At 46.2% G+C, this 24,121-nt stretch overlaps 1 pseudogene across 2 annotated transcripts, besides 1 other annotated feature; it reads left to right on the forward strand.

Moving 5' to 3' along the window:
* HCG22 (HLA complex group 22) lies at nt 15,054-21,454 on the forward strand (annotated as a pseudogene). 2 transcript variants are annotated; one of them, NR_003948.3, is made up of 4 exons: nt 15,054-15,136; nt 15,705-16,121; nt 17,315-18,515; nt 21,013-21,454. The product of NR_003948.3 is annotated as an HLA complex group 22, transcript variant 1 (long non-coding RNA). The 2 variants fall into 2 exon arrangements; NR_145427.2 differs by having other exon boundaries at nt 17,823-18,515.
* Nucleotides 15,146-15,646: an enhancer, noted in NCBI's record as "H3K4me1 hESC enhancer chr6:31021318-31021818 (GRCh37/hg19 assembly coordinates)". NCBI's record gives its function as "activates a minimal SCP1, AML or CMV promoter by ChIP-STARR-seq in primed H9 embryonic stem cells {active_cell/tissue: H9 hESC(primed)}" and the evidence as "EXISTENCE:reporter gene assay evidence [ECO:0000049][PMID:30033119]".
* Nucleotides 21,455-24,121: the final 2,667 nt, after the last annotated feature.

Genomic DNA, 24,121 nt, shown 5'->3' on the forward strand with positions numbered 1-24,121 from the left:
TGGCTCACTGCAACCTCCGCCTCCCGCCTCCCGGGTTCAAGCGATTCTCCTGTCTCAACCTCTCGAGTAGGTGGAACTACAGGCGCCTGCCACCATGCCTGGCTAATTTTCGTATCTTTAGTAGAGCCAGGTTTTTACCTTGTTGGTCAGGCTGGTCTCAAACTTCTGACCTCAAGTAATCCACCTGCCTTGGCCCCACAAAGTGCTAGGATTGCCGGCATGAACCACTGTGCCCGGCCACGTCATTTATGTTCTAAGCCCCATAAGCTCCACCCTGACTTGTAGATCGCAATGATGTCTTGTATGTTACCCTAAAGGTTTGGGTGTTTTCATTTCCCCATTGCACTGTCACGATGATAAATGGCTGAGATTCCTTTTGAAAGCTAGGAGGAAGATTCGCGGCACATCCTGGTGGTGGTGGTGGATCTTGCTGCCTTCCCTTCATTTCTAGGTCTGTGAACAGGTTCGGGCCTGGGAATTAGGTGAGAGTCTGTGGCAACTCAAGTCAGCTCTCTGTTCAACCACCTGGATATTTTCACTTATATAGATCAAGTAAGATTTTAGTGGTTAATTGATTAATGATTAATTAGCCATAGCCAAAGAGCCCTGATTACAGCTCTGGTCGTGATGCCCACATCGATAATCATGCCTGTCTTGTCTCTGGAGGGAAAGCCCTACCACCTACCTACTGTTTCCTGAAGATTCCACCATGCCCACTGAAATCAGGAAGCTCATTTCAATGGTCAGATCATCCACCATTGCATTTAGCAAAGAGCTGCTACAGAGCTTTTCAACGATGCTGGTCCTCTCCCTTCTAATGCCTTGATGAAGACAGTTTCAATGGAACCTTCTGGGAGGACGTAATGAAAGAGTGAGTGAGCAAGTTGCACATATTAAATCCATTCCAACATAACTCTCTTCCTAAGTCTTTTGATTTTTTTCTTCCGCTTATACTAATGAAATACTGGGATCTCAACTTTATTTAGTGTAGGCCACCACTAAGTCCACATTTCAAGCAACCGAGAGAACTATTAGTGCAACTCACACCTACTTGAGCTAATGTTTTGAATCTAGAACATGTGATAAGTTCACCCATGTATTTGTTTTCTATCAGTGATAACTTACTACAAATGCAGCAGCTTAAACCAACACCCATTTATCAGACCACAGTTCTATGAGGCGGGTCTGGGGCCAGCATGACTGACTCCTTTGCTCAGTCTCACAGGTTAAAATGAAGGTGTTAGTTGAGCTGCATCCTCATCTGGAGGCTGGCATCTCTTTCAAGCTCACGTGGTTGTGGCAGAGTCCAGTTCCTTGTGTTTAGAGTTGAGGCCCCTGTTTCCTTGCTCACTGTCATCTATGGTTGTTTTCAGCCCCTAGATCTGACTCAACGCATGGAGCTGGAGGCCACGAGGGGCATTGTAATAGGGCCTGTGGTAGGCAGAATAACAGCCCCTCAAAAACATCCACGTTTCAATTCCCAGAACCTGGAAATATGTTACTTTATATGGCAAAAGGGACTCTGCATGCATGATCGCATTAAGGATCTTGTAATGGGGAGATTATCCTGGATTATCTGTATGGGCCCAATGTGATCACAAAGGTCCTTATAAGAGGGAGATGAGAGGCCGGGCGCAGTGACTCACACCTGTAATCTCAGCACTTAGGGAGGCTGAGGAGGGTAGATCACGAGGTCAGGAGTTCGAGACCAGCCTGGTCAAGATGATGAAACCCTGTCTCTACTAAAAATACAAAATGTAGCCGGGTGTAGTGGTGGGTGCCTGTAATCCCAGCCTCTCAGGGGGCTGAGGCAGGAGAATGGCTTGAACCCAGGAGGTGGAGGTTGCAGTGAGCCAAGATTGCACCACTGCACTCTAGCCTGGGCAACAGGGCAAGACTCAATCTCAAAAAAAAAAAAAAAAAGAGGGAGACAGGAGTCAGAGTCAGAGAGATTTGAAGATGCTGCGATGCAAGCTTTGAAGATGGAAGAAGGGGCCACAAACCAAGGAGTGCTGGAAGCCTCTAGCGGTGGAAAAGGTGAGTAAACAGATTCTTCTCTAGAGCCTCCAGAAGGACCACAGACCAGCTGACACCTTGACTTTAGCCCAGTAAAACCTATTTTAAACTTCCGATCTCCAGAACTGCAAGATAATATATTTGTGCTATCTTCAGCCTGAATTTGTGGTAATTTGTCACGCAGCAATAAGAAACTAATACAGGGCCTGAGGAAAATCTGTGTCCCCTTGCCAAGGGAGTGCTGTGAGGGCGTCACTATAGGGTCTTCAGGCAAGAGAAAGTGACTTCCTCACAGAGGGGAGGAGGGGCTACTTCTGCTGGCAAGGAAAGCTCTGCGGGATTTGGAGGTTCAAAGTTTTTCAGACTCATCAAAATCTACCCAGGTGTCTCCACTCCAATTCTGGGCTTCCGTTAACAAATATTCCAAATGTCACACACGAGACTGGCAAAGATATAAATGCAAGTTGAATATAATTCTCCAATCTGCAGAATCAAACTGTGGGTCTGGTTTTTTCATACATAGTCCCTGTGGCTTTGAGAGATAAGCATGTCTTTTAGAATATTCAGAGAAAGCTCTGTGTTCGCTGGCAATGCCTTGACTGAGGATGCAGCAGAGGGGTCATTTTTTTCCTGTAATCTCCCAGTGCAGCCACCCACAGTCCCGGCAGTCAACACTCCCAGCTTCACGATCTGTCACAGCGACCACCTGGGCTCCCGGCCCTTCCCTTCAACAATTGCTTTATTCCAGGCACCACCACAGGTGATAACTTAAGTCACTTTTTCTATCTTTTGCTGTGTAATACAAAGACTTCATTTTATACTAGCATGAGGTCGCCCCTGCCCTCAAGCCTAATGGGTCAGGGAACCAATCCCAGATTGCCACCTTTGAACGTCAATTTTCTGAAACCTCTTGTTATACCAAATACTGTAACAGTCAGAGTTCACTTATGAAAACAGAAACCACTTTGGATATTTCAAGCATAAAAGGATTTAGTACAAGAAGTAGATGTTTATAAAACCACTCGAAAAGGTGGTGTGCCGCCCATTGCTTCCCATTCTATACACAGTGATTCACGCTGGTCACACGCAGTCAGCTCTGGCGGGTGCATTTGCACCACGAGAAGTGAGTTGTTAAACATTTACCAGCACACACGCTGCAGGGGACCTAAGGAGAGTGATGGCACTGGAAAGAGGAATGCTCCTGCTTCTAATCCTCCTTGATAGAGGCGCTCCCCTTTTGTTTTTGAAGAATTTATAGAAGCTTTTCCACCGGGGAGCTTCAGCTAGGTCTTCTCATCAGTGCTGTGTGCCAGACAAGCCAGATGATCAAGGAAGTACCTACACTTTGGACACTGTCAGTTTGCCTGGGGACTGAGAGCTTACAGTCCAAGCTTGCTTCAACTCTGGCTGAGGCCAACAGAGAGAGCCCAAAGACAACTGAAGGAGCGGCAGAAAACAAATATGGGAACGGGGTAATTGGCTTCCAGTTCCTTCATTCGCAGGTCATGAAAAAAACCTGGGGCTAGACTCCATGAGAGTTTTTTTGTTTTCTGTTTTGTTTGTTTGTCTGTTTGTTTGTTTGAGACTGAGTCTCGCTCTGTCACCCAGGCTGGAGTGCAGTGGCGCGATCTCGGCTCACTACAAGCTCCGCTTCCCAGGTTCACGCCATTCTCCTGCCTCAGCCTCCCGAGTAGCTGGGACTACAGGCGCCCGCCACCACGCCCTGCTAATTGTTTTGTATTTTTCGTAGAGACAGGGTTTCACTGTGTTAGCCAGGATGGTCTCGATCTCCTGACCTTGTGATCCACCCGCCTCAGCCTCCCAAAGTGCTGGGATTACAGGCGCGAGCCACCGTGCCCGGCCTGTTTTCTGTTTTTTTGAGACAGGGTCTTGCTCTGTTGCCCAGGCCCTTGAACTATTCCACTTCCCACTCCTCCCCAGGCCCTTCCTAATGGGACTAAGTCATCCTCCACCCTCACCTACCTTCTGGCTGCTGTACCCTCCTCTCTAAGCTTGGGGATTCTGCCACTGCTCACAGCTGGAAGAACAACAGCCTACATGTCCAGGCCTTGCCCAGTCCAGATGATGCTTTAAAGGCCTTCTTCTTCTTCCTTTTTTTTTTTTTTTTTTTTTGAGATGGAGTCTCACTCTGTTGCCCAGGCTGGAGTGCAATGGCGTGGTCTCAGCTCACTGCAACCTCTGCCTCCTGGGCTCAAGCGATTCTCCCGCCTCAGCCTCCCAAGCAACTGGGACTACAGGCATGTGCCACCACACCAAGCTAATTTTTGTATTTTTAGTAGTGATGGCGTTTCACTATGTTGGCCAGGCTGGTCTCGAACTACTGACCTCGTAATCTGCCTATCTTGGCCTCCCAAAGTTCTGGGATTACAGGCATGAGCCACTGTACCCGCCCTAAAGGCCTTCTTTGAAAGAGAAAAAGAAGAGGTGGCATTCTGTGAAGGAACATCAAGGACCAGACATCCAGCTTCCCCTGCAGCCCAGGTCCCCCTAGCGGTGCTTCTCTTCAGATTGAGGACCTATTCTTTGGAGTTCCGAATTCCTAGTAGTCCAGCCCTCAGATCTCCACCTTGAGACTCCACCCTCAAGATTCTCATTTTCTGCCTTTCCCTTCTAAGGCTTAATCCCATCGGGACTAAGGGAGGAGCCTTCCCTTCCAGCCTCACACAGGCAGACTATCTCAAAAGAAAGAGAAAGCAATTTTCCCTTGCATGCTGGCTGTTTCACTTCCTTCTACTTTTAGGAAATGGTGAGTGATTTTGTTTAAAAGAGAATAATCTTGGAGTTTGAGTAGAGTTTGGGGAAAGTGTTGACAACTTCTGGGACACACACTCTGTCCTTGTTGCCCCCATTCTCTTCAAGGCAGGAGGGATGATTATTTTGCTTCTTTCTCTCCAATGCAACCCAGCATCTGTCCTCCGTTCTGTTCTCAGTGGCAACTCTTCTGCCCAGAAGATGGACCTATTTACTCTATAATACATCATTCCCAGATATAGGCGCATTAGAGTTGGAAGAGAACTTGAATTAGTGTCTGACCACCCGTAATAGGCAGGGATCTATTTCCAGCGTCTCTGACAGCAGTCATCTAGCCTCTAATTAAACACTTCATGAGACATTGCTGTTCCACACTCACGCAGATTTAATTCTCTCTAGAATCTGCCCCAGCATGGCTTTGACTCTTGTGTTTTATGCCCCTGACCAACACAAAACCAGTCTATTCCCTCTCCACAGGCCAGCTTTTCATCTCAACTTCTCACTTAGTTTCTCTCTTGGCTCTGACCCTAACCTAAGGCATCGACACACAGTTTTGGGATTCTTCCCTCAAATCTAAATTGGCAATCCTTATGTTAGTCCAGACAACACCAAGGCAAGAACATATGTGGAGGGTGAAGGGCAGCACCTACATCCAGGGAGAGAACAGGGCCATCGATGAGGAGAGGGTCTATAGGGATCTGGGAGGTCAAGGGCTTGGTTGTTAATGGGATGGAAAATCAGAACAGGGTAGAAAATAGGCATGACAGGGAAAGAAGCTCAGTCTCACCTTAACTCTAACTGATCCAACAAGAAAGCTGAGCCACTTTCCTGAATCCCAGAAGATCTTATTTCTTCAAGCTGACATGACTGATTCTTTACTAGTCCATGTGTCAAGACCATCTGGGGTCCCTTAAACCAGTGGCTCCCAAACTATTTTTTTTTTTTGAGACAGAGTCTTGCTCCGTCGCCCAGGCTGGAGTGCAGTGGCGTGCTCTCAGCTCATTGCAACCTCCACCTTCCAGGCTCAAGCGATTCTCGTGCCTCAACCTCCCGAGTAGCTGGGATTACAGGTGTGCACCACCATGCTTGTCTAATTTTTTTGTATGTGTAGTAGAGACAGGGTTTCTCCATGTTGTCCAGGCTGGTCGAGACTCCTGGCCTCAAGTGATCCTCCTGTCTTGGCCTCCCAAAGTGCTGGGATTACAGGTGTGAGCCACTGCGCCCAGCCCCAAACTTTTGTGTTCAGAAGAATTACCCGATGTAGTAAAAATGCACATCATGGTCCCCTCCCAAACCGATTCCGCTTGATTATCTGCCCCCTAGAGGAAGGGCACAATACTGTTTGGAGAGGAGCTTGATGGGCCTTCAACTTTTCTCTTACGTTCTTTAGTCGGAGAGTATCATGAATAGTTAAAAGAATAACACCATCCCCTGTAAACCCTGGTCTTGTAACTCCCCCATACCTGGGATATGGAATAATGCATGGGTTAAGGGCTTTAGGGGCTGGCTCTGGGGTCAGACTGCCTTGATTTAAATCGTTGTTCCACTACCTACTAACTGTCTGACCTGGAACTAGCTGCTTAACTTCTCTAAACCTCAATTTACCTATCTATAAAATGGGGGTAATATTAGTTTCTATCTCAAGGAGGTATTGTAAGGATTTTAGTACTAATTTATATGTGGCACTTAGCACAGTGCCTGGAATATAGTGAGCATTCTTAAATGACAGCCACTATTATTATCACTAGTATTACTCATAGTAGCGGTAGTGGTGAACAAAACCAAATTTCCAGTGGAGCCAACCAGCCACCCTTTCTTAACCAGCTGTAACTTCCAGTGAAATCACCACGATCATCCCCCCAGATTAACCCCACCTTCCAGTGGAATCACTGTGACCACCCCTCCAGGATCAACCACACCATCCAGCGAAATTACTGTGAACACTGCCCTGGACCAACCACACCTTCCAGTGGAATCACCATGACCACCCCTCCAGGATCAACCACATTATCCAGCAGAATCACCGTGACCACGCTCCCTGGACCAACCACACCTCCCAGTGGAATCACTACAACCCCCCTGCCCTGGGTCCACTATATCTTCCAGTGGAACTAACACAACAACCGCAACCTCCAGTGTCACCAGCACAAGTGCAGCCCCTCCAGGGAATGAGGGAAGGTCTAATGGATGCCTGAGGCTGTGGGAAGTCATCCTAGTCACTCTGGCCTTGGTTGCAATGGCTGTGATTCTCTTCACAGGGCTCTTTTATTTCATGAGTGCCTGATGTGTGGGAAATCCTTTTTCTGAGGGAGGGAGTGCAGGGAACTGAGGAGGGAAGCAGGGTAGAGAGAGTAGGGTCATTGTGTGGCTAATAGGGAATGAGAAATCAGGAGAGGGACAAAGCAAGACAGAGACAGCAGGTGAGAACCAGCAAGAGAGAGGGCTAGAAAAGCTGGTACATGTTCAGAGGAAATTGATGAGGAGAGAAGGGGCCAAAGGAGTACTGAGGCTGGGGAGGCCGAATGGGGAGTGGGGACACGTGGGATGGGAGAGCACTGGAAGAGGGGCATAACTCTGAACCATCCATCCTTTTGTTTTCTAGAGAAACTCTCTGTGCCTAAGAAACCTCTTCACCAAAGATCTTCACATCCCAAACCTTGGTCCATGTCCTCAAGGATATCATGGAGTCCAAGATGGGTCAAGTGAGACTGAAACGGATTTTAGAGACCAGTGTTCTCCCACAGGCATGGAGCTGATGAGGAGACACAGTGTCCCTAAAGGCAGGCACTTCACTGTCCTCAGGGTGGGGAGGACCAGCGGTCTCGGTTTTCCTCACTTGCCCCCAGGGCTGCTCCTCCCAGCTCTGCTCCAGCCCCTGACACTCCTACCTTCTGTTTAGTTCTCCCAGACCTGAAACAGGAGGCTATCGCTAGTGCTGAATGATTAAATAAGTGCATCTGCTCTATGTGACAGCCAGACTGTGGGTGTGTGCTTGTATATTGCTGTGAAGAGAGGTTTCCTATATCATGAGGACACTCTTTCGCTGTGACCTCCCAGTTCTCAAATCCTAGCATGAAATCCAGAGACCTCACATCTGTCCCATTTTCTTCCCCACTCCTTCCCTGCTCCCCGAGGCCTCTGGGTCGATGGAAGAACGGAGTCAGGAGAGATGGGGGAAGGCAGGTGCTGGTCTTTACAGACGTGTGTTGCATGGCAGGAAAACAGCCTCTGCGTGAGCCTAGAACATGAACTGGAGGAAAGTGATCCTGTTTTCATGTTGTGAGGTAGGAAAGAGCTTGCTACTGGGGCCACCCTTAGACATGGCCACTTTTCCTGGCCACTCACGTCTGCTCTGGGCTGCAGGTGTGAGTTGCCACCTTTCTCTCCTGTGGGCTCCCAGCCCAGCAACTGTCCTGGGCAGGGAGAATGTGCTCCCAGTTTTTGCAAGGGCAGGACTGGCTTGCCCTGCTACGGTCTAGATCCTCAGCAGCTCCCCCAAAACCAGGCCTCAGAGGGCACACATGCCAGTGTCAGCACCATGCTCAGGCCTGGTCCCACCCAGGCTTCTGGTGCAACTTGCTCTCGCACTCGCACACGCACCCCACTGATTCTTCCTCCCTGTGAATCACTCGCCTCTGCTTTATCAGTTTCACCCTCTGCTAAGTCTCTTCAGCTTCTGGGATTCTCCTGGGTCTTTGGGAGAGCCTTAACAGGACCAAGCTGTTTCTCTAAGAACATTTTACAATATGATGAACAAAACTGTTTTTAGGCTGGGTGCGGTGGCTCATGATGCCTGTAATCTTAGCATTTTGGGAGGCTGAGGCGGGCGGATCGCCTGAGGTCAGGAGTTCAAAACCAGCCCTGCCAACATGGCAAAACCCCGTCTCTACTAAAAATACAAAAATTAGCCGGGTGTGGTGGCACATGCCTGTAGTTTCAGCTACTCGGGAAGCTGAGGTGGGAGGATTGCTTGAACCTGGGAGGCGGAGGTTGCAGTGAGCAGAGATTGCGCTACTGCACTCCACTGTGGGCAACAGAGAAAGACTCTGTCTCCAAAACAAAACAAACAAAAAACATAACAACAACAACAAAATCTATTTTTAACAGATGCAAGAGAGTATCTACTGTACAATTTATTTGCATGAAATTCAACAATAGGCAAAACTAATCTATGGTGGCAGAGATCAGATCTCCTATGAGGGTGAGGGTTTTTAGGAAGGGGGCACTTTCTGGGTGATAGGAATGTTTTCTATATCAACTGGTCTGTTGGTTACACAGGTAAATACACTTGTCAAAACTCAGCTAACAGCTGGGTGTGGTGGCTGACGCTTGTAATTCCAGCACTTTGGGAGGCTGAGGTGAAAGGATTGCTTCAGCCCAAGAGTTTGAGACCAGCCTGGGCAACATGGCAAGACCTCATCTCTACAAAACATACAAATATTAGTCGGGTATAGTAATGCACACCTGTAGTTCTAGCTACTTGGGAGGCTGAGGTGGGATGATTGCTTGAGCCCAGGAGGTCAAGGCTGCAGTGAGCCGTGATGGTGCCACTGCACTCCAACCCGGGCAACAGAGTGAGACCCTGTCTCAAAAAAACAAAACAAAACAAGAAACCTCCACTAACTGAATTCTTAAGATCTGTGCATTTCACTTTTTGTAAATTTTACCTCAATAGGAAGAAAAAATGTATATTCGGGTTTTTTATTTTGGGATTTTTTAATTTTTATTTTTATATTAGGGTTTTAAAATAATACCTTGAAGATATTTATCAGTGTATCCATTATCTCCTCTTCAGTTTTAAGAGCCCCCAGACCTTTTCGTAAAATAATTATCATCTTTTGCACTCATTTTTTCATTCATTCATTCACCATATTTACTGGACACCTGCTTGGCATGAGGTCTCAAGGAGCTGGGGCAGCTAGGATGACCCTGTAGGTCACAGTTGGGTGAGGGAGGTACATAAGTTACAGGCCAACGCATCAAGTAGTATGAATGGAAGCACCACAGGAGGAAACATCTAACTTGATGAGGGGAGGAGAGGCTGACTCACATAGAAGGTGACATTTGGATTTTGAGGAGTTAGCAGGCATTTACGAGGAGCAGAAGAGGAAATGCCAGGCAAGCAAGCAGCTTGTGCAAGACTGGGCATGGCACGGCCAGTGAAGGTCAGAAGACCTGTGGGGCTGGAGAGCACAGCAGAGGGAGCTGGGGCTGGGGGCTAATGCGTGGCTTTGAACACCACTCCAAGGAGGCCAGATTTCATCCTTTAACAGCACAAAGCCCACAGATCACTTTAAGGTGTAGTGGGACACAATTTTTTCCCCAATAAGAACACTTCAATCAGCTGAGTGAGTAGAAAATAGAGGCTGGAAACCAGCAAAAATGGTGTTGTAATGCCCCTGCAAAGAAAGAAGCAAATAGACAAATCTAAGACCACAAAACATGGAAATGGGAAAGAAGAAAAGAAGTGGAGGCTGGGCACAGTAGCTCATGCCTGTAATCCTAACACTTTGGGAGGCCAAAGTGGGAAAACTGTTTGAGCCCAGGAGTTTGAGACCAGCCTGGGCAACAGAGTGAGGTCCTGTCTCTACAAAAAGTTAAAAAGATTAGCCAGGTGTGGTGGTGCACACCTGTAGTCCCAGCTGAGGTGGGAGGATAACTTGAGCCCAGGGGGTCAAGCCTTCACTGAGCTGTGATTGCGCCACTCACTCCAGCCTGGGTAACAGAGTGAGACCCTGTCTCAAAAAAAAAAAAAAAAAAAAAAACGAAAACGAGAAGAAATGTGAATTTCAAGAGATTTCTGCCTAGCACTTTTTTAAAAATCCCCAACTCCAGAATTTATGGTGACTTTTGTTAAAAGTCCTGTTTTAGGGAGGTCTTCATCTAACGAGCTCTAGGCAATTTTCTTAAAACTAATTCATCAAATGACTAATTCTTTGAATTTTTAAATTTTGTTTAAATCCTATTCAGTGTGATTCCCTCCTGCTGCAGGCTGGAGGCTGGGAGACAGAGGGAGACTGGGGAATGTCTTCTTGATTTATAGCATGTTTTCTAGTTAAGAAAATACTCAAGATAAATATATTTATTTATAACAATTTTCACATGAAAGACTTTATTCAAAAATATGTGCAAGAAAAAATTATTTATTCTTGACTCTGATGAATAATTGCAAATATGATTCCTATGAATAGTATATAAATTATATCTAAAACTATAAGGCTACAGACTATACGATTCCCTTCATATGACATTCTGAAAATGGCAAAATTATAGGGAAAGAAACAAGATCCATGTTGCCAGGGTTTGGGAAGTGGGAGAAGGGTTGGCTCTAAAGGAACGGCATGGGGGGAGATTGAGGAGGATGAAGGGATTCAGTGCGCCGAATATGTGACTCTACCATTTATCAAAATCCATAGAACTGTACACTACAAAAAGTGATTTTTAGGGTATGGAAATTCAGCAAATCAACCAGGATGTGGAGGGAAAGATGGAAAGCAGACTCTGACAAATGACTCATGTAAGCACAGTGAAACGGATGGAGAAGAAGGAGCTGGCCTAAGTAACTTTGAAAAACTGTTTTGAGTCAGGCATGGTGGCTCATGCCTGTAATCCTACCACTTTGGGAGGCCAAGGCAGGAGGCTTGTTTGAGTCCAGGAGCTTGAGATCAGCCTCAGCAACACAGCGAGAACCCCGCCTCTACAAAAAGTTAAAAAAATTAGCTGGGCATGATGGTGTGCCTGTAGTCCTAGCTGCTCAGGAGGCTAGGATGGAGGGATCGCTTGAGTCCAGGAGATCAAGGCTGCAGTGCTACTGCACCCCAGACTGGGTGACAGAGCAAGACCCTGTCTCAAATTTAAAAAAGAAAAAGAAAAGAAAAACTGTGTTTTGACCATAAAGCTAAAGACAAAAAAAAAAAAAAATACAGAAACACTGTACTGTAGTTGGTAAATGTGTTTCTGGCAAGGGTATGAATTAGCAGTTCTGAAACCACTATTTGTTTATTAGGGTTGAAAAAATAAGTAAAAAAATATGTTTATAGACATTCGTAGCCATGTCAGAGAAAGGAGTTACAAATAAAGAAAAGGGAGAGACTAGAATGAACCCCATGTTGCTGGATTAAAGCTGGAGGTGTCAAAATGCACCCATGCTTGTGTTTAAAACACAGGTTGAGCAACCCTCATCTGAAAATCCAAAATGCTCCAAAATCCAAAACTTGCTGAGCACCAACATGACACCACAAGTCAACATACACAAACTTTGTTTCATGCACAAAATTATTTAAAATATCACGTAAAGTTACCTTCAGGCTACATGTATAAGATATATATAAAACATAAACAAATTTCATGTTTAGACTTGGGTCTCATCCACAAGATATCTCATTGTGTATATACAAATATTTCGAAATCCAAGAAATTGAAAATCCAAAACACTTACGGTCTCAAACATTTCAGATAAGGGATTCAATCTGTATATGCAGACAGGTAATTGCAGAAATAAATACAGACCTGTGTTTATGCATGAGTTAGTTTACATACATACGTTTCCTAGCTCTAACTTCCGTGGGGGCAAGAAGCAGTGACACCCACTATGAATGAGCACACCTAGTACCCAAATCTTGGTTTCTAAATATTATTCTCTAATACAAAGAGGAGCCAGAGCTCTGTGGAGAAATAGTTGATTCCAGGGCCTGGATGGACAAAATAAAAAATGAGCATGAAGCATCTTGTAATACCAGAATGCAAGAAAGTGTTTTAAAAAGGGATGGAGAGGGCCATGCACAGTGTCTCATGCCTGTAATCCCAGCACTTTGGGAGGCCCAGGCCTGGGGATCACCTGAGGTTCGTGAGTTGGAGACCAGCCTGACCAACTTGGAGAAAACTCTCCCTACTAAAATAATACAGAATTAGTTGGGCATGGTGGTGCATGCCTGTAATCCCAGCTACTTGGGAGGCTGAGGCAGGAGAATCACTTGAACCCAGGAAGCAGAGGTTGCAGTGAGCCGAGATTGCACCATTGCGCTCCAGTCTAGGCAACGAGAACGAAATTCCATCTCACACAAAAAAAACAAAAAAACAAAATACCACGGATGGAGAGGCTGGGCACAGTGGCTTGAGCCTGTAATCCCAGCACTTTGGGAGGCCAAGACAAGTGGATTGCTTGAGCCCAGGAGTTTAAGACCAGCCTGAGCAATATGACAAAACTTTGTCTCTACAAAAAAAAAAAAAGTTAGCTGGGTGTGGTGGCGCACACCTGTTGTCCCAGCTACTTGGAAGGCTGTGGTGGGAGGATTAGTTGAGCTCAGGATACGGAGATTACAGTGAGCCAATATTGCACCACTGCACTCTAGCATGGGCAACAAAGTGAGACCCTGTCTCAAAAAACAAAACAAAATAGCAATGGAGATATCAGCTGGGTGTGCTGGTGCATGCCTGTAGTCCTAGCTACTTGTAGGAGGCTGAGGCAGGAGGATCCCTTGAGCCCAGGAGTTTGAGGCTGTATGATGATGCCACTGCAATTCAGCCTAGGAAACGCAGTGAAGTCTTGTCTCATAAATAAAACAAAACAAAAAAAGGATGGAGGACATTAAAACGGCACTGGAGCCCATCTGAAAGAGCTCCCAGTGGCCAAAGTTTGAGCAACAAAATAAATAGTGATAGTATTGGATCATAACTCACAGAACAAAATAAACATTTATGAGTCCATTCTGATATAAACAAATAGTTGAATAAATAAAATGGGGAGAGGGCACGACTTTTTCTTACAGAAGAATTTCAATTAATAAATGTAGAAGGAATCTAATCTATCACCATTAGGATTACACACCTGTAATCCCGGGTGCTCGGGAGGCTGAGGCAGGAGAATTACTTGAACCTGGGAGGGGAAGGTTGCTGTGGGCTGAGATCGTGCCATTGCACTCCAGCCTGGGCAGCAAGAGTGAAACTCTGTCTCAAAAAAATATATATAGTATTGTACCAACAATAACTTCTTAGCTTCTATAATTGTATATATAATCTCTCAGTTTCTATAATTGTACTATGTAAGATATTGACATGAGGAAAAGCTAGGGGAAAAATATACGGGAACTCTGTTAATTATTTTTGTAATTCTCTGTAAGTCTAAAATTATCTCAAAATGAAGTTTTAAAAATTCTAAAACAAAGCCAAACCAAAAAAATTCTATTGACCTGTACATGAAAAAGGGTGAATTTTATCATATGCAAATTATACCTCTTGACTTAGAAAATCAGATATTTTCCTTACTATACTCTTTTGAAATCTATTCATTAGTTATACTAAATACATACAAATTCTTTTGAGTGTGTTTAAATACTATGTTTGAAAATGTTGCTGGGTGATGTGGCTCACACCTGTAATCCCAGCACTTTGGGAGGCTGATGAGGGAGGATCTCTTGAGCTCAGGAGTTCGAGACCAGCCTGGGCAACATAGTGAGACCTTGTCTCTACTAAAAATAAAAAAACAATCAGCTGGGCATGGTGGTGCATGCATATAGTCCCAGCTACTCCGGAGGCTGAGGTGGAAGGATCACTTGAGCCTGGGAGATCGAGGCTGCAGTGAGCCGTGATAGCACCACTGCACTCCAACCTGGGCAATACAGCAAGACCCTGTCAAAAAGAAAGAAAGAGAGAGAAAGAGAAAGAGAAAGAAGGAAAGAAAGAAAGAAAGAAAGAAAGAAAGAAAGAAAGAAAGAAAGAAAGGAAGGAAGGAAGGAAGGAAAAGAGAAAATATTTAATACATTCAAATAATACTAGTAGTTAACATAGTCAGTTACATGTGGTAAACTAGCCATTCATTAAATTGATTTTCAGGAAATCAGCTGCCTTCTAAGAGAGGAACAATTCCCGGCCCACCTGCAATTTCACACTCCTCTTTTAGTTAGAAGGACACTGGGAAAGAGAGAGGCCCCACAAATGGTGAGAGACATCTCTGAATGAAGATGGGAACCAACAATGATCTTCTAAAGAGTGGGCAAGGCAGGGATAAGGGTCAGAGAAGGAGGAAAAGATGTGGGTATTCTCATTCAGGCCTGACCTCACCACAAGTGGACTAATTTTGTGCAGTGATATGGCTTGGCTCTGTCCCCACAGAAATCTCAACTTGAATTGTAGCTCCCACAATTCCCCTCATGCTGTGGGGAGTTTTTCTCTTTTCGCCAATCATCTTTCTCTTGCTATTCTCATGACTGTGAATAAGTCTCATGAGATTTGATGGGTTTATCAGGGGTTTCCGCTTTTGCTTCTTTCTCATTTTCTCTTGCCGCCACTGTGTAAGAAGTGCCTTTTGTCTCCCTCCGTGATTCTGAGGCCTCCCCAGCCATGTGGAACTGTAAGTCCAATTAAACTTCTTTTTCTTCCCAGTCTTGGGTATGTCTTTATCAGCAGCGTGAAAACAGACTAATACATGCAGTAATTGAGAAAGCTCACTGGGGTGAGGGCACTCGAGCAGGGGGAGCAAGGAGAGAGATCCGTGGGCTGGAGAGAAGCCAAGGAAGAGGATTTGGGTGGATGATTGAGCAAAGAGTGAGGTTTTAAGAGACAGAGAGATTGGGTGTTTTAGCCCCCTCATGAGTGTTCCTCTCCTTCTGTTGGAGGACCTTCTCTTGGTCCTTACCAAATGTCCTCTACCCTCTGACACCCAGCTCTCCTCCTGCCAAGCATCATCCCCCAGGCAGGCCTGGCCTATGCCCTCCTTGGTCATCCTGACTTTACTGTGGCCACCTGTGGGAAGGAAGGCCGAGGCCCTCCCTGAGCACTGAAACACCGGGTGGAGGATGGTTTTCAACTAGGCTCCACATCAGAAAGCAGTGCACTCACGCTGACAGGCTTGATCCCCTGTGGCTGCTCGACTCTGGGCTCTGGTCCAAAGCTGAGAGCCCCCCTTCCCCTCATGACAGCCTCTTCTGCCCTGCCCGGCCACTCCTTTGAGTGACAGGGGGTAATTGAGAAGCTGCTCCTCCCTCCAGGAAGGAAGACCCGGAGCTCTGGCTTCCCTCGGCAAAGCACATATAAACCCACAGCCACTGCGGGTGGAAGGAGAAGGGCAGGGTGGAAAAAGTTTGAGAGAAGGAGGGAGGAAAAGGTGTCCTGGCTAGCACCATGTGGATTCTCTTGAGATGAGAAGAAAATGCCCCGCTACGTCCCCCTTCTGCTGCTCCTGCTTCTCCTGAGGTGTTCAGAACGGGGTGGAGGAGTTAATTTTGGTGAGAAGGATGCAAAAGTCCCCGGGACCTGGAGAGATGGAGTCAGGGTCCCTGGAGAAGGAGCCTCTTGGGACTCAGACAGGGCCAGTCCCGAGCGAAGGTACGGAATAGGTGAGTGAACCTTGGGAACTCCGGACCCTGTTATCTACCCTCAATCACCTGCCACAGGGAAGCAGGGACCCCAGCGTCTTTCTCATATCCCCTTTTAAGGAAATGCTCTGCTTTTGATTTTGTGCATTTTATTTAAGTTTCTTTGTTTCAACTTTCCTGGAGAAATGAAAAATTTGGCACTCCTCTAATCCCAGCGCTTTGGGAGGATGAGAAGGAGTGGGATCCCTTGAGCCCAGGAGTTTGAGACAAGCCTGGGCGACATAGTGAGACACCATCTCTACAAAAACCAAAAAAATCAGCCAGGCGTGGTAGCCCATGCCTGTAGTCTAATCTACTCGGGAGGCTGAGGTGGGAGGATCACTTGAGGCCAGGAGGCCAAGGCTGCATTGAGCCATGATTGTGCTACTGAACTCTAGCCTGAATCACAGAACAAGACCCTGTGTCAAAAGAGAGAAAGAAAAAGAGAAAGAAAAGAAAGAAACGGTCAGGTGCAGTGGCTCATGCCTGTAATCTTAGCACTTTGGGAGGCTGAGGCGGGTGGGTCATCTGAGGTCAGGTGTTTGAGACCAGCCTGGCCAGCATGGTGAAACCCAGTCTCTAGTAAAAATACAAAAATTAGCTGGGTCTGGTGGCGCACGCCTGTAATCCCAAATACTTGAGAAGCTGAGGCAGGAGAATCGCTTGAACCTGGGAGGTGGAGGTTGCAGTGAGTGGAGATCGCGCTATTGCATTCCAGCCTGGATGACAGAGGGAGACTCCGTCTCAAAGAAAAAAAAAAAAAAGAGAGAGAGAGAGGGAAAGGAAGGAAGGAAGGAAGGAAGGAAGACTTGAACCCTATTAGAAAAATGTGGAGCGTCAGCAGTAGGGAGGGATGACTAGATTTGGGCAGAGTACCAAAAGTTCAAAATTTATGCCATGTAAGCTACATGTATTCCTAAGAATAAGAATACTCCCAAGTCCTGACGGCTGCCTGGGGCAGTGAGGGCTGGAGACGAAGAGGACTCATCTCTTCTTTGTACTTATACCTGACTCAGTGTTGCCCTCAGTCCAACTAGATCACACCCACACCCCTCATGACTCCTCCCCTAAGCCTGCCCCCATACCACCTTGAATCTTCCCTGCCTCCAAGCCTACCACGTTAGCCCCAGATCTGACCCAGAAGCTGTCTCATGCTTTTTTTTTCCTTTTTTGAGATGGAGCACCTGGCCAGCTGTCTCATTTTAAATCATATACCAAGCATGACCTGAGTGTAATCTCTAACATGAATCACAGCTTCTGCCTCATTGGTTTGCCAGAACCGCAGGCACAAATGGATGAGAGGAGACACCTATGAACATGGAGCCAGAATACCCCAATTGCTGAAACACCAGTTCAGAGAGGAGTGAGCTTGAGAAAGAGTCAGGTTTAGTGTCCCACGGAAAGAGACCAGACCTGGAAAAGACAGAGTCAAAGCTGGGTGAGCAGGCCTTCGAAGGGCGTGGCTCAGCAAAGATAATCCATATTGTAGTGCAAGAGGATTCTTGTGGAATATGTTTTACCAGAATTAAACCAAAAATGCCAAATGATCCCTAACTGGAATAAATCTCACCACATTACCTGGGGAGAGGTGTCATTTGGATGTGAGGATAGTTATGAAAATACTGAGCAGAGCAGATGAGGATAGGCCATCAACAATTCACATTAAATGAGATTACTTTTTAGTAGGACTAAGCCAAAGCATTTCCACTAAGCACCCAGAGACCAGCCCTAAAGACTCAAGAATAAGAGAAAATGATGTAACTGCAGATGGAAGGACCACTGAGGACCACATCACTGCAGACCCAGGGACCACCGAGGACTCTGTCACTGCAGACCCAGGGACCACTGAGGACAATGTGACTGTGGACCCAGGGACCACCGAGGGCTCTGTCACTGCAGACCCAGCGACCACCAAGGACTATGTGTCTGCAGACCCAGGGACCACCAAGGATTCTGTCACTGCAGACCCAGGGACCACTCACTGAGAACTTTGTCACTGCAGACCCAGGGACCACCAAGGACTCCATCACTGCAGACCCAAGGACCACAGAGGACTCCGTCACTGCAGACCCAGGGACCACCAAACACTCCATCACTGTAGACCCAGGGACCACTGAGGACTCTGTCACTGCAGACCCAGGGACCACCAAACACTCCATCACTGCAGACCCAGGGACCACCGAGGACTCCGTCACTGCAGACCCAGGGACCACAGAAGATGAAACCACTAAACATGGTGACACTCACCTTCTGTGAACTACTTCAGTCACAGCAGTGAAACCCACCAGGCTCCTGACACCCATGGGAATTATCCTCATATCCCTGGCTGCAACCACAGTCACTGTTGTGCTCTTTGTTGGATTGGGCTTCATTGTGGTGAGTATTTGGTCTGGGAATATTCAGGGCATCAGGGGAACGAGGCCAACTGAGGATAAGCGGTGGGCATGGAGAGCTGAGGTACAGAGGCCCAAGAAATCGTCAGGCGTGAGGAAGCCTACATAGAGAGAGCTCTGCAAAGACTCCTGGAAAGACAGAGGTGGAGAGAAAGGAAAAGAGCACCTGGCACAAAAGATGCAGAAAGCATTGGGGACAGAGGAAGCTGTGAGAGACAGGAAGGAGAGAAAGGGAAGAGAGGCTGAGAGTGAGAAACATAAGAACACAAACATGGTAAGACACAGCGGGAGTCAGGGCAAAGCATGAACCGTTAGGTACAGATGGATGTAAAAGAGGAAATTTTCCTAAGAAGACAAGGAACTGGGGACCAGAGGAGTGGATGAATTAGAAACATTCTGGGTGGTCCACTCATATCAGAAATTACATATTCTTGTGTTAATTACTACCTACTCTGAAGTTCTGAAGAAGATTTTTTTAAAACCAAAATTGAGTGGGTTTTTATGAGCCACCACTACCCTGCACCAAAGAGACAGTTTGTACCAGCTCTCAAAGAGGAGCTCTGGGTATTTTTCTGTCTCTGAGGGTCCCTGTTGTTTCTACAAGAGGAGACAAAAGAATTCCATGCCAGCCCTGCATGTTTCATCTCACCAAACTCCCAGCTGGAATCATCCCAAAAGCAGCAGCAGGGAAATTCCCACAGGGAGTGGCCCAAACCCTCCAGAGATGGGGCCAATTGGGATTCCAAAGAAAGAAGCCCAGATGTCAGGGTGATCAATTCAAAGCATTTATTAGGGGAACTTACAGAGGACTGCAGCAATCCTCCCTGCCGACAGGGAGGGAAAAGGGATGTTCTGCCTAAGCATGTCTGTAGCAAGGGGGTCAGGGTATGGAGTTTATATGAGGGTTTAGGGAATTTGACTCAGGGCTGGAGCCAGTTTCTTTCAACGTTTTGGGCAACAACCTAGATACCTTTATTAGTGCCTGGGAGTGTTCAAGGCCCTGGTTTGCGTTCAAGCCTGCTGGGGAAAACCTGCAGCTGGCTGGGTCACAGAACGGTCAAGGCAATCTGTGATTTTTGGTCAGTCTGATCAGAAAGAAAAGGAGGTGATCTGGGGGACCCCACATTGTGGCTTCCTCTCGCTAACATTTGATCTAAAACCCAAGCCTCCTGCTTCTGGCCTGCTGCTTGAGGGGGAAGGGCTGGTCCTTTTTGGCCATCCTGACCTACGGATTAAGTGCATGTCGAAATTTTAACAAGTGGCGGCTTGCAGGATTAGCCAACTCGGGCAGGTCATTAAAGCCTCGTTAATTCTTGCGGTCATTGATGCCATTGTGCACTGACCCCTGCTCCAAGATGCAAATCCACAGCTTTGGATCAGTTTGTAAGTGTGAGTAAAGCCGAAAGTAATGCATGATACAGATGAGGTGTTCACATTTAATTCTGCTAAAATGACACCATGAAACTAGAGCATTCTGAAGGATGCTGACAAGAGGAAAATGGAATGAAAGCGTCCATATGTACCTGACTCATGCATGAGTCATGTTCAGTATTCACCAGTAGAGGGAGGACCTTCTGGACTTCGCTGTTACCATAAACAATTGGATTTCTGATCATGTGGATCACCATGAAAAGTTGGACACTCTTGCTCTAGAACAAAAGATGCTTTCCTTCCTCCAAACCAGGCATTGGCCCAGAGAGGTCACTAGCATTAGCACCTTCTTAATTTCATGTAGAGACTAAAAACAAGAGATGGCTCAAAAGGCTCAGGGTGTGGGAAGTAAGAGGAAAGTCTATGCTCCCAAACTTGCTAAATTTTTGACTTTTAAACCTTTAACTCGAAAAGTTTTAAAAATAAGAACTATATTACCATTCCTCCCAAGTTTCATTTGTCAAAATGCTTTTTTCTTTAAACTTTAATGGTTTAAGTTTTTTTTAAGTTGTTTTAAAAAAAACAAAAAAGGTTTAAGTTTTTTTTGGCAGGGTGCGGTGGCTCACGCCTGTAATCCCAGCACTTTGGGAGGCCGAGGTGGGTGGATCACGAGGTCAGGACTTTAAGGCCAGCCTGGCCAATATGGTGAAACCCCATCTCTACTAAAACTACAAAAAAGTTAGCCAGCCATAGTGGTGGGCACCTGTAATCCCAGCTACTTGAGAGACTGAGGCAGAGAATTGCTTGAACCCGGGAGGCAGAGGTTGCAGTGAGCTGAGATCGTGCCATTGCACTCCAGCGTGGGCAACAGAGCGAGACTCCATCTAAAAAAAAAAAAAAACAAAAGGCTTTTTTTTCCCCCTAAATGTCGTCCACATTTTTGGCAAGTATTGATCTCTAGTAGTCAGTGTCAGGATCTGAAGAAAACAGTGACATCTAGCAGACTCCCAGAGCCAGGGAAACAGGCTGGGCAGAAGTGATAAATTACAAACCACCAGGGTTAAGAGAAGAACAGAGTGTTAAAACCAAACCATTTTCTTCCTCCCTAGAAAGAGTGTTTCCTGCCTCCATTAAATCCATCCACCAGGGTTATTTATCATCCCCATGTCATGGACTACAGTACACCATAAAGAGGACCCCAGCAGTGACTACAGTTGGTTCTAGAAAAAGGAGACCCCTCATCCGCCTCTGCAAGACTATACAGCATGATGTGTATCCTCAGGCCTCCACTCCTCCGCCCTAGTCTGGAGCCCTGGGACCACCACATGAGGAAGGCAGCTGGCCCCTGGAATAAGCATGTGGAGGACACTCAGAAGGATGCCCATCTGCTCTGAGTGTCTCCTAATTCTGCCTGACCTTGGTTACTTCCTCTGGACAATCGCCTTTACCTATCTACCAGGTTTTGAGGAATTACACACAGCTCAGGTATAAGAGATATTCGGTAAGTCTGATCAAATCAATAAAGCAAATTTTATCTGTTTTTGTCTGGGACATATCTCTACATTCATTCATTTAACCAAAAAAAAAAAAAATGTTTTTTTTGAGACGAAGTTTTGCTCTTTTGCCCCGGCTGGAGTGAAGTGGCGCGATCTCAGCTCACTGCAACCTCTGCCCCCCAGGTTCAAGTGATTCTCCTGCCTCAGCCTCCCTAGTAGCTGGGATTACAGGCGCATGCCACCACGCCTGGCTAATTTTTGTATTTATAGTAGAGACAAGGGTTTCACCATGTTGGCCAGGCTGGTCCCGAACTCTTGACCTCAGGTGATCCACCCGCCTTGGCCTCCCAAAGTGCTAGGATTACAGGCATGAGCCACCGCACCTGGCCTTAACAAAATATTTATTCAGTGCCTAGCATGAGCTCAACACTCTACGTCTCCCAGTCTGTCTATCTCAGTCTACCTGTAAGCTGAAGGATACAACTTATCTCTTAAGAGGACTATGCCCGCGTTCTCCTACCACCCAGGCCAAAGGGTCACATTTACAGGATGTAGTCAACTGGTCATTCAGCAAGTATGTATGAGCACCTGTGTGGGACTGGCCACCGTAGCAAATAAATGAGTCTCATCTTAGTCAATCGCGGTGTGAAATGAGGACACGAAGTCCAGACCTAACCTCTAAGAGAAAAGCCCTGCCTGATAGAAGAAGAGATTTGTCCTTACTTAATGCAAATGCACCATATTCATGCACCTATGAATGATGGCTAAGACCACAGACAAGGCCGGGGCATTGGATATAACAGCTCTGTGAGGAGCTCAGGACAAAAACCAAAGAATCAAAGATATGTGAAGACAGTTGATTATTGTTTGCTCACTACTGATGCCACTATGAGCAGCATCACCACCAGTGTTAAATAATGGAATTGTAGTATTATGATACAGAGTCGGAAACACGGAATAATAAATTAAAATACTAAAGTGAAAAAATTGGATTGATTAAATAAATATTAAACCAATATTTCTCAGACTTATGTGATAAACACCTTTAAAGGAAAAGATACATATATATTTTTGAGACAGAGTCTCATTCTGTTGCCCAGGTTGGAGTCCAGTGGTGCGATCTTGGCTCACTGCAACCTCCACTTCCTGGGTTCAAGCGATTCTCCTTCCTCAGCCTCCGAGTAGCTGGGATTACAGGCGTGCACCACCATGCCTGGCTAATTTTTGTATTTTTAGTAGAGATGGAGTTTCACCATGTTGCCCAGGCTGGTCTTGAACTCCTGACCTCAGGTGATCCACCCGCCTTGGCCTCCCAAAGTGCTGGGATTACAGTGTGGGCCACCGTGCCTGGCTGGAAAAGAGATTTTTTGAGAACTCGCCATGTTGGCTTAAACGTAAATATATATGAAACAGAAAATGAAGTATAAACTCCTTATGCTTATAGCTCTACTGTTCCAATAACGTTAGAAGTAACAGCAGTAGTTTAATGTAATGCATGATATTTCTTTACTGAAGAATTCTTCGCTCCAACATTAATATTGTAGTGATTGCTACAGCCTAGTTTCTCAAATCTCATTTGCCACTTGATGTTTTCCTTCTTTCATGGATCGTCTCTGTACAAGCTCTCTCAAGACCTTCAGTCTCTCAGTCAGCTGCGGGATTATTGGGCCCTTAATGCAAATGCACCGTTTAAATTTTAAGACAGTTCTCGTTCTACTCTTGTTAGGCTGTGCAATTGTAAAGACTAATCATTTCTATTAGCTTTATGTTGGTTTTATATTGGTCATCAATAGAATCCAGGAAATGCTTATATTATGGGGATTTTCAAGATTATTACCTGAAGGAAAACGTGACAGAAACAGCTCTAGTCTCCCCTTCCCTTACACTTGGAGAACCTGAGTTTTGGGGGTGATGGTAATGTGCCCAGCTGAAGAAAACCATTTCCCAAATCCCCAATTTCCCGGTCCCCCTTGCAGCCAGTGCAGTGAGGAGATACAGCTCTGGCCAATGTGATAAAGGCATAAGTTCCTGGGGATGGTGTCCCTTCCAGATGAAAAGGCCAAAGCTCATGAGGAGAAAGCCCTTTGCCCCTTCCCCTTCGTTCCTCTTCCTACCTGGAATGCAGATATGAGACCTGGGGCTCAGCAATGCTGAGGTCAGGGGGAGACCCACAGCAGGGTGAAGGCTTCAAGCTGAGAGTGGAGCAGAGGGAAGAAATCACTTGGGTGCCCGATGGCAATACTGAGCCCTGGGCTGCTCCTCTCGGACATTTCGTATATGAGATGAGCAGTGTGCCGGAGCTCAGTGAGGTGAGCTTCTTGTGATTCCAGCTAAATGGGATCCTAAATGATATGACACATAAACATCATCTAGAACATGCAGACTTCTGCGAATATCTCCATGACACATTTGGGAAGACACAGTGCTCAGGATTTTAAGAATGTGGGAGCTACACATAGTGGGGAATGGGAGAATAATAAAATGATCTCCCTCTTCTGCCCCCATGGAGGCAGCAAGTGGCCAAGGGAGAATTTTGTGATTAGAGATACTTGCATGAATATCAGTTTATTGCAGGAAAAAAGAGTGACAGAAGAGTCTCTTGGTTAATATACAGGCAGGAAAAGTCCAATGTGTTTCTATAAAATCTTCCTCCTGAAGTTCAGGCTGGGGTTTGGGGCTGGGCATTTGTCAAAGGGTATTGGCAAGCACAAGGAATTCCAGA

This window comes from Homo sapiens, chromosome 6 (genome assembly GCF_000001405.40).
Source record: "Homo sapiens chromosome 6, GRCh38.p14 Primary Assembly".
In the NCBI taxonomy this organism is placed as follows: domain Eukaryota; kingdom Metazoa; phylum Chordata; class Mammalia; order Primates; family Hominidae; genus Homo; species Homo sapiens.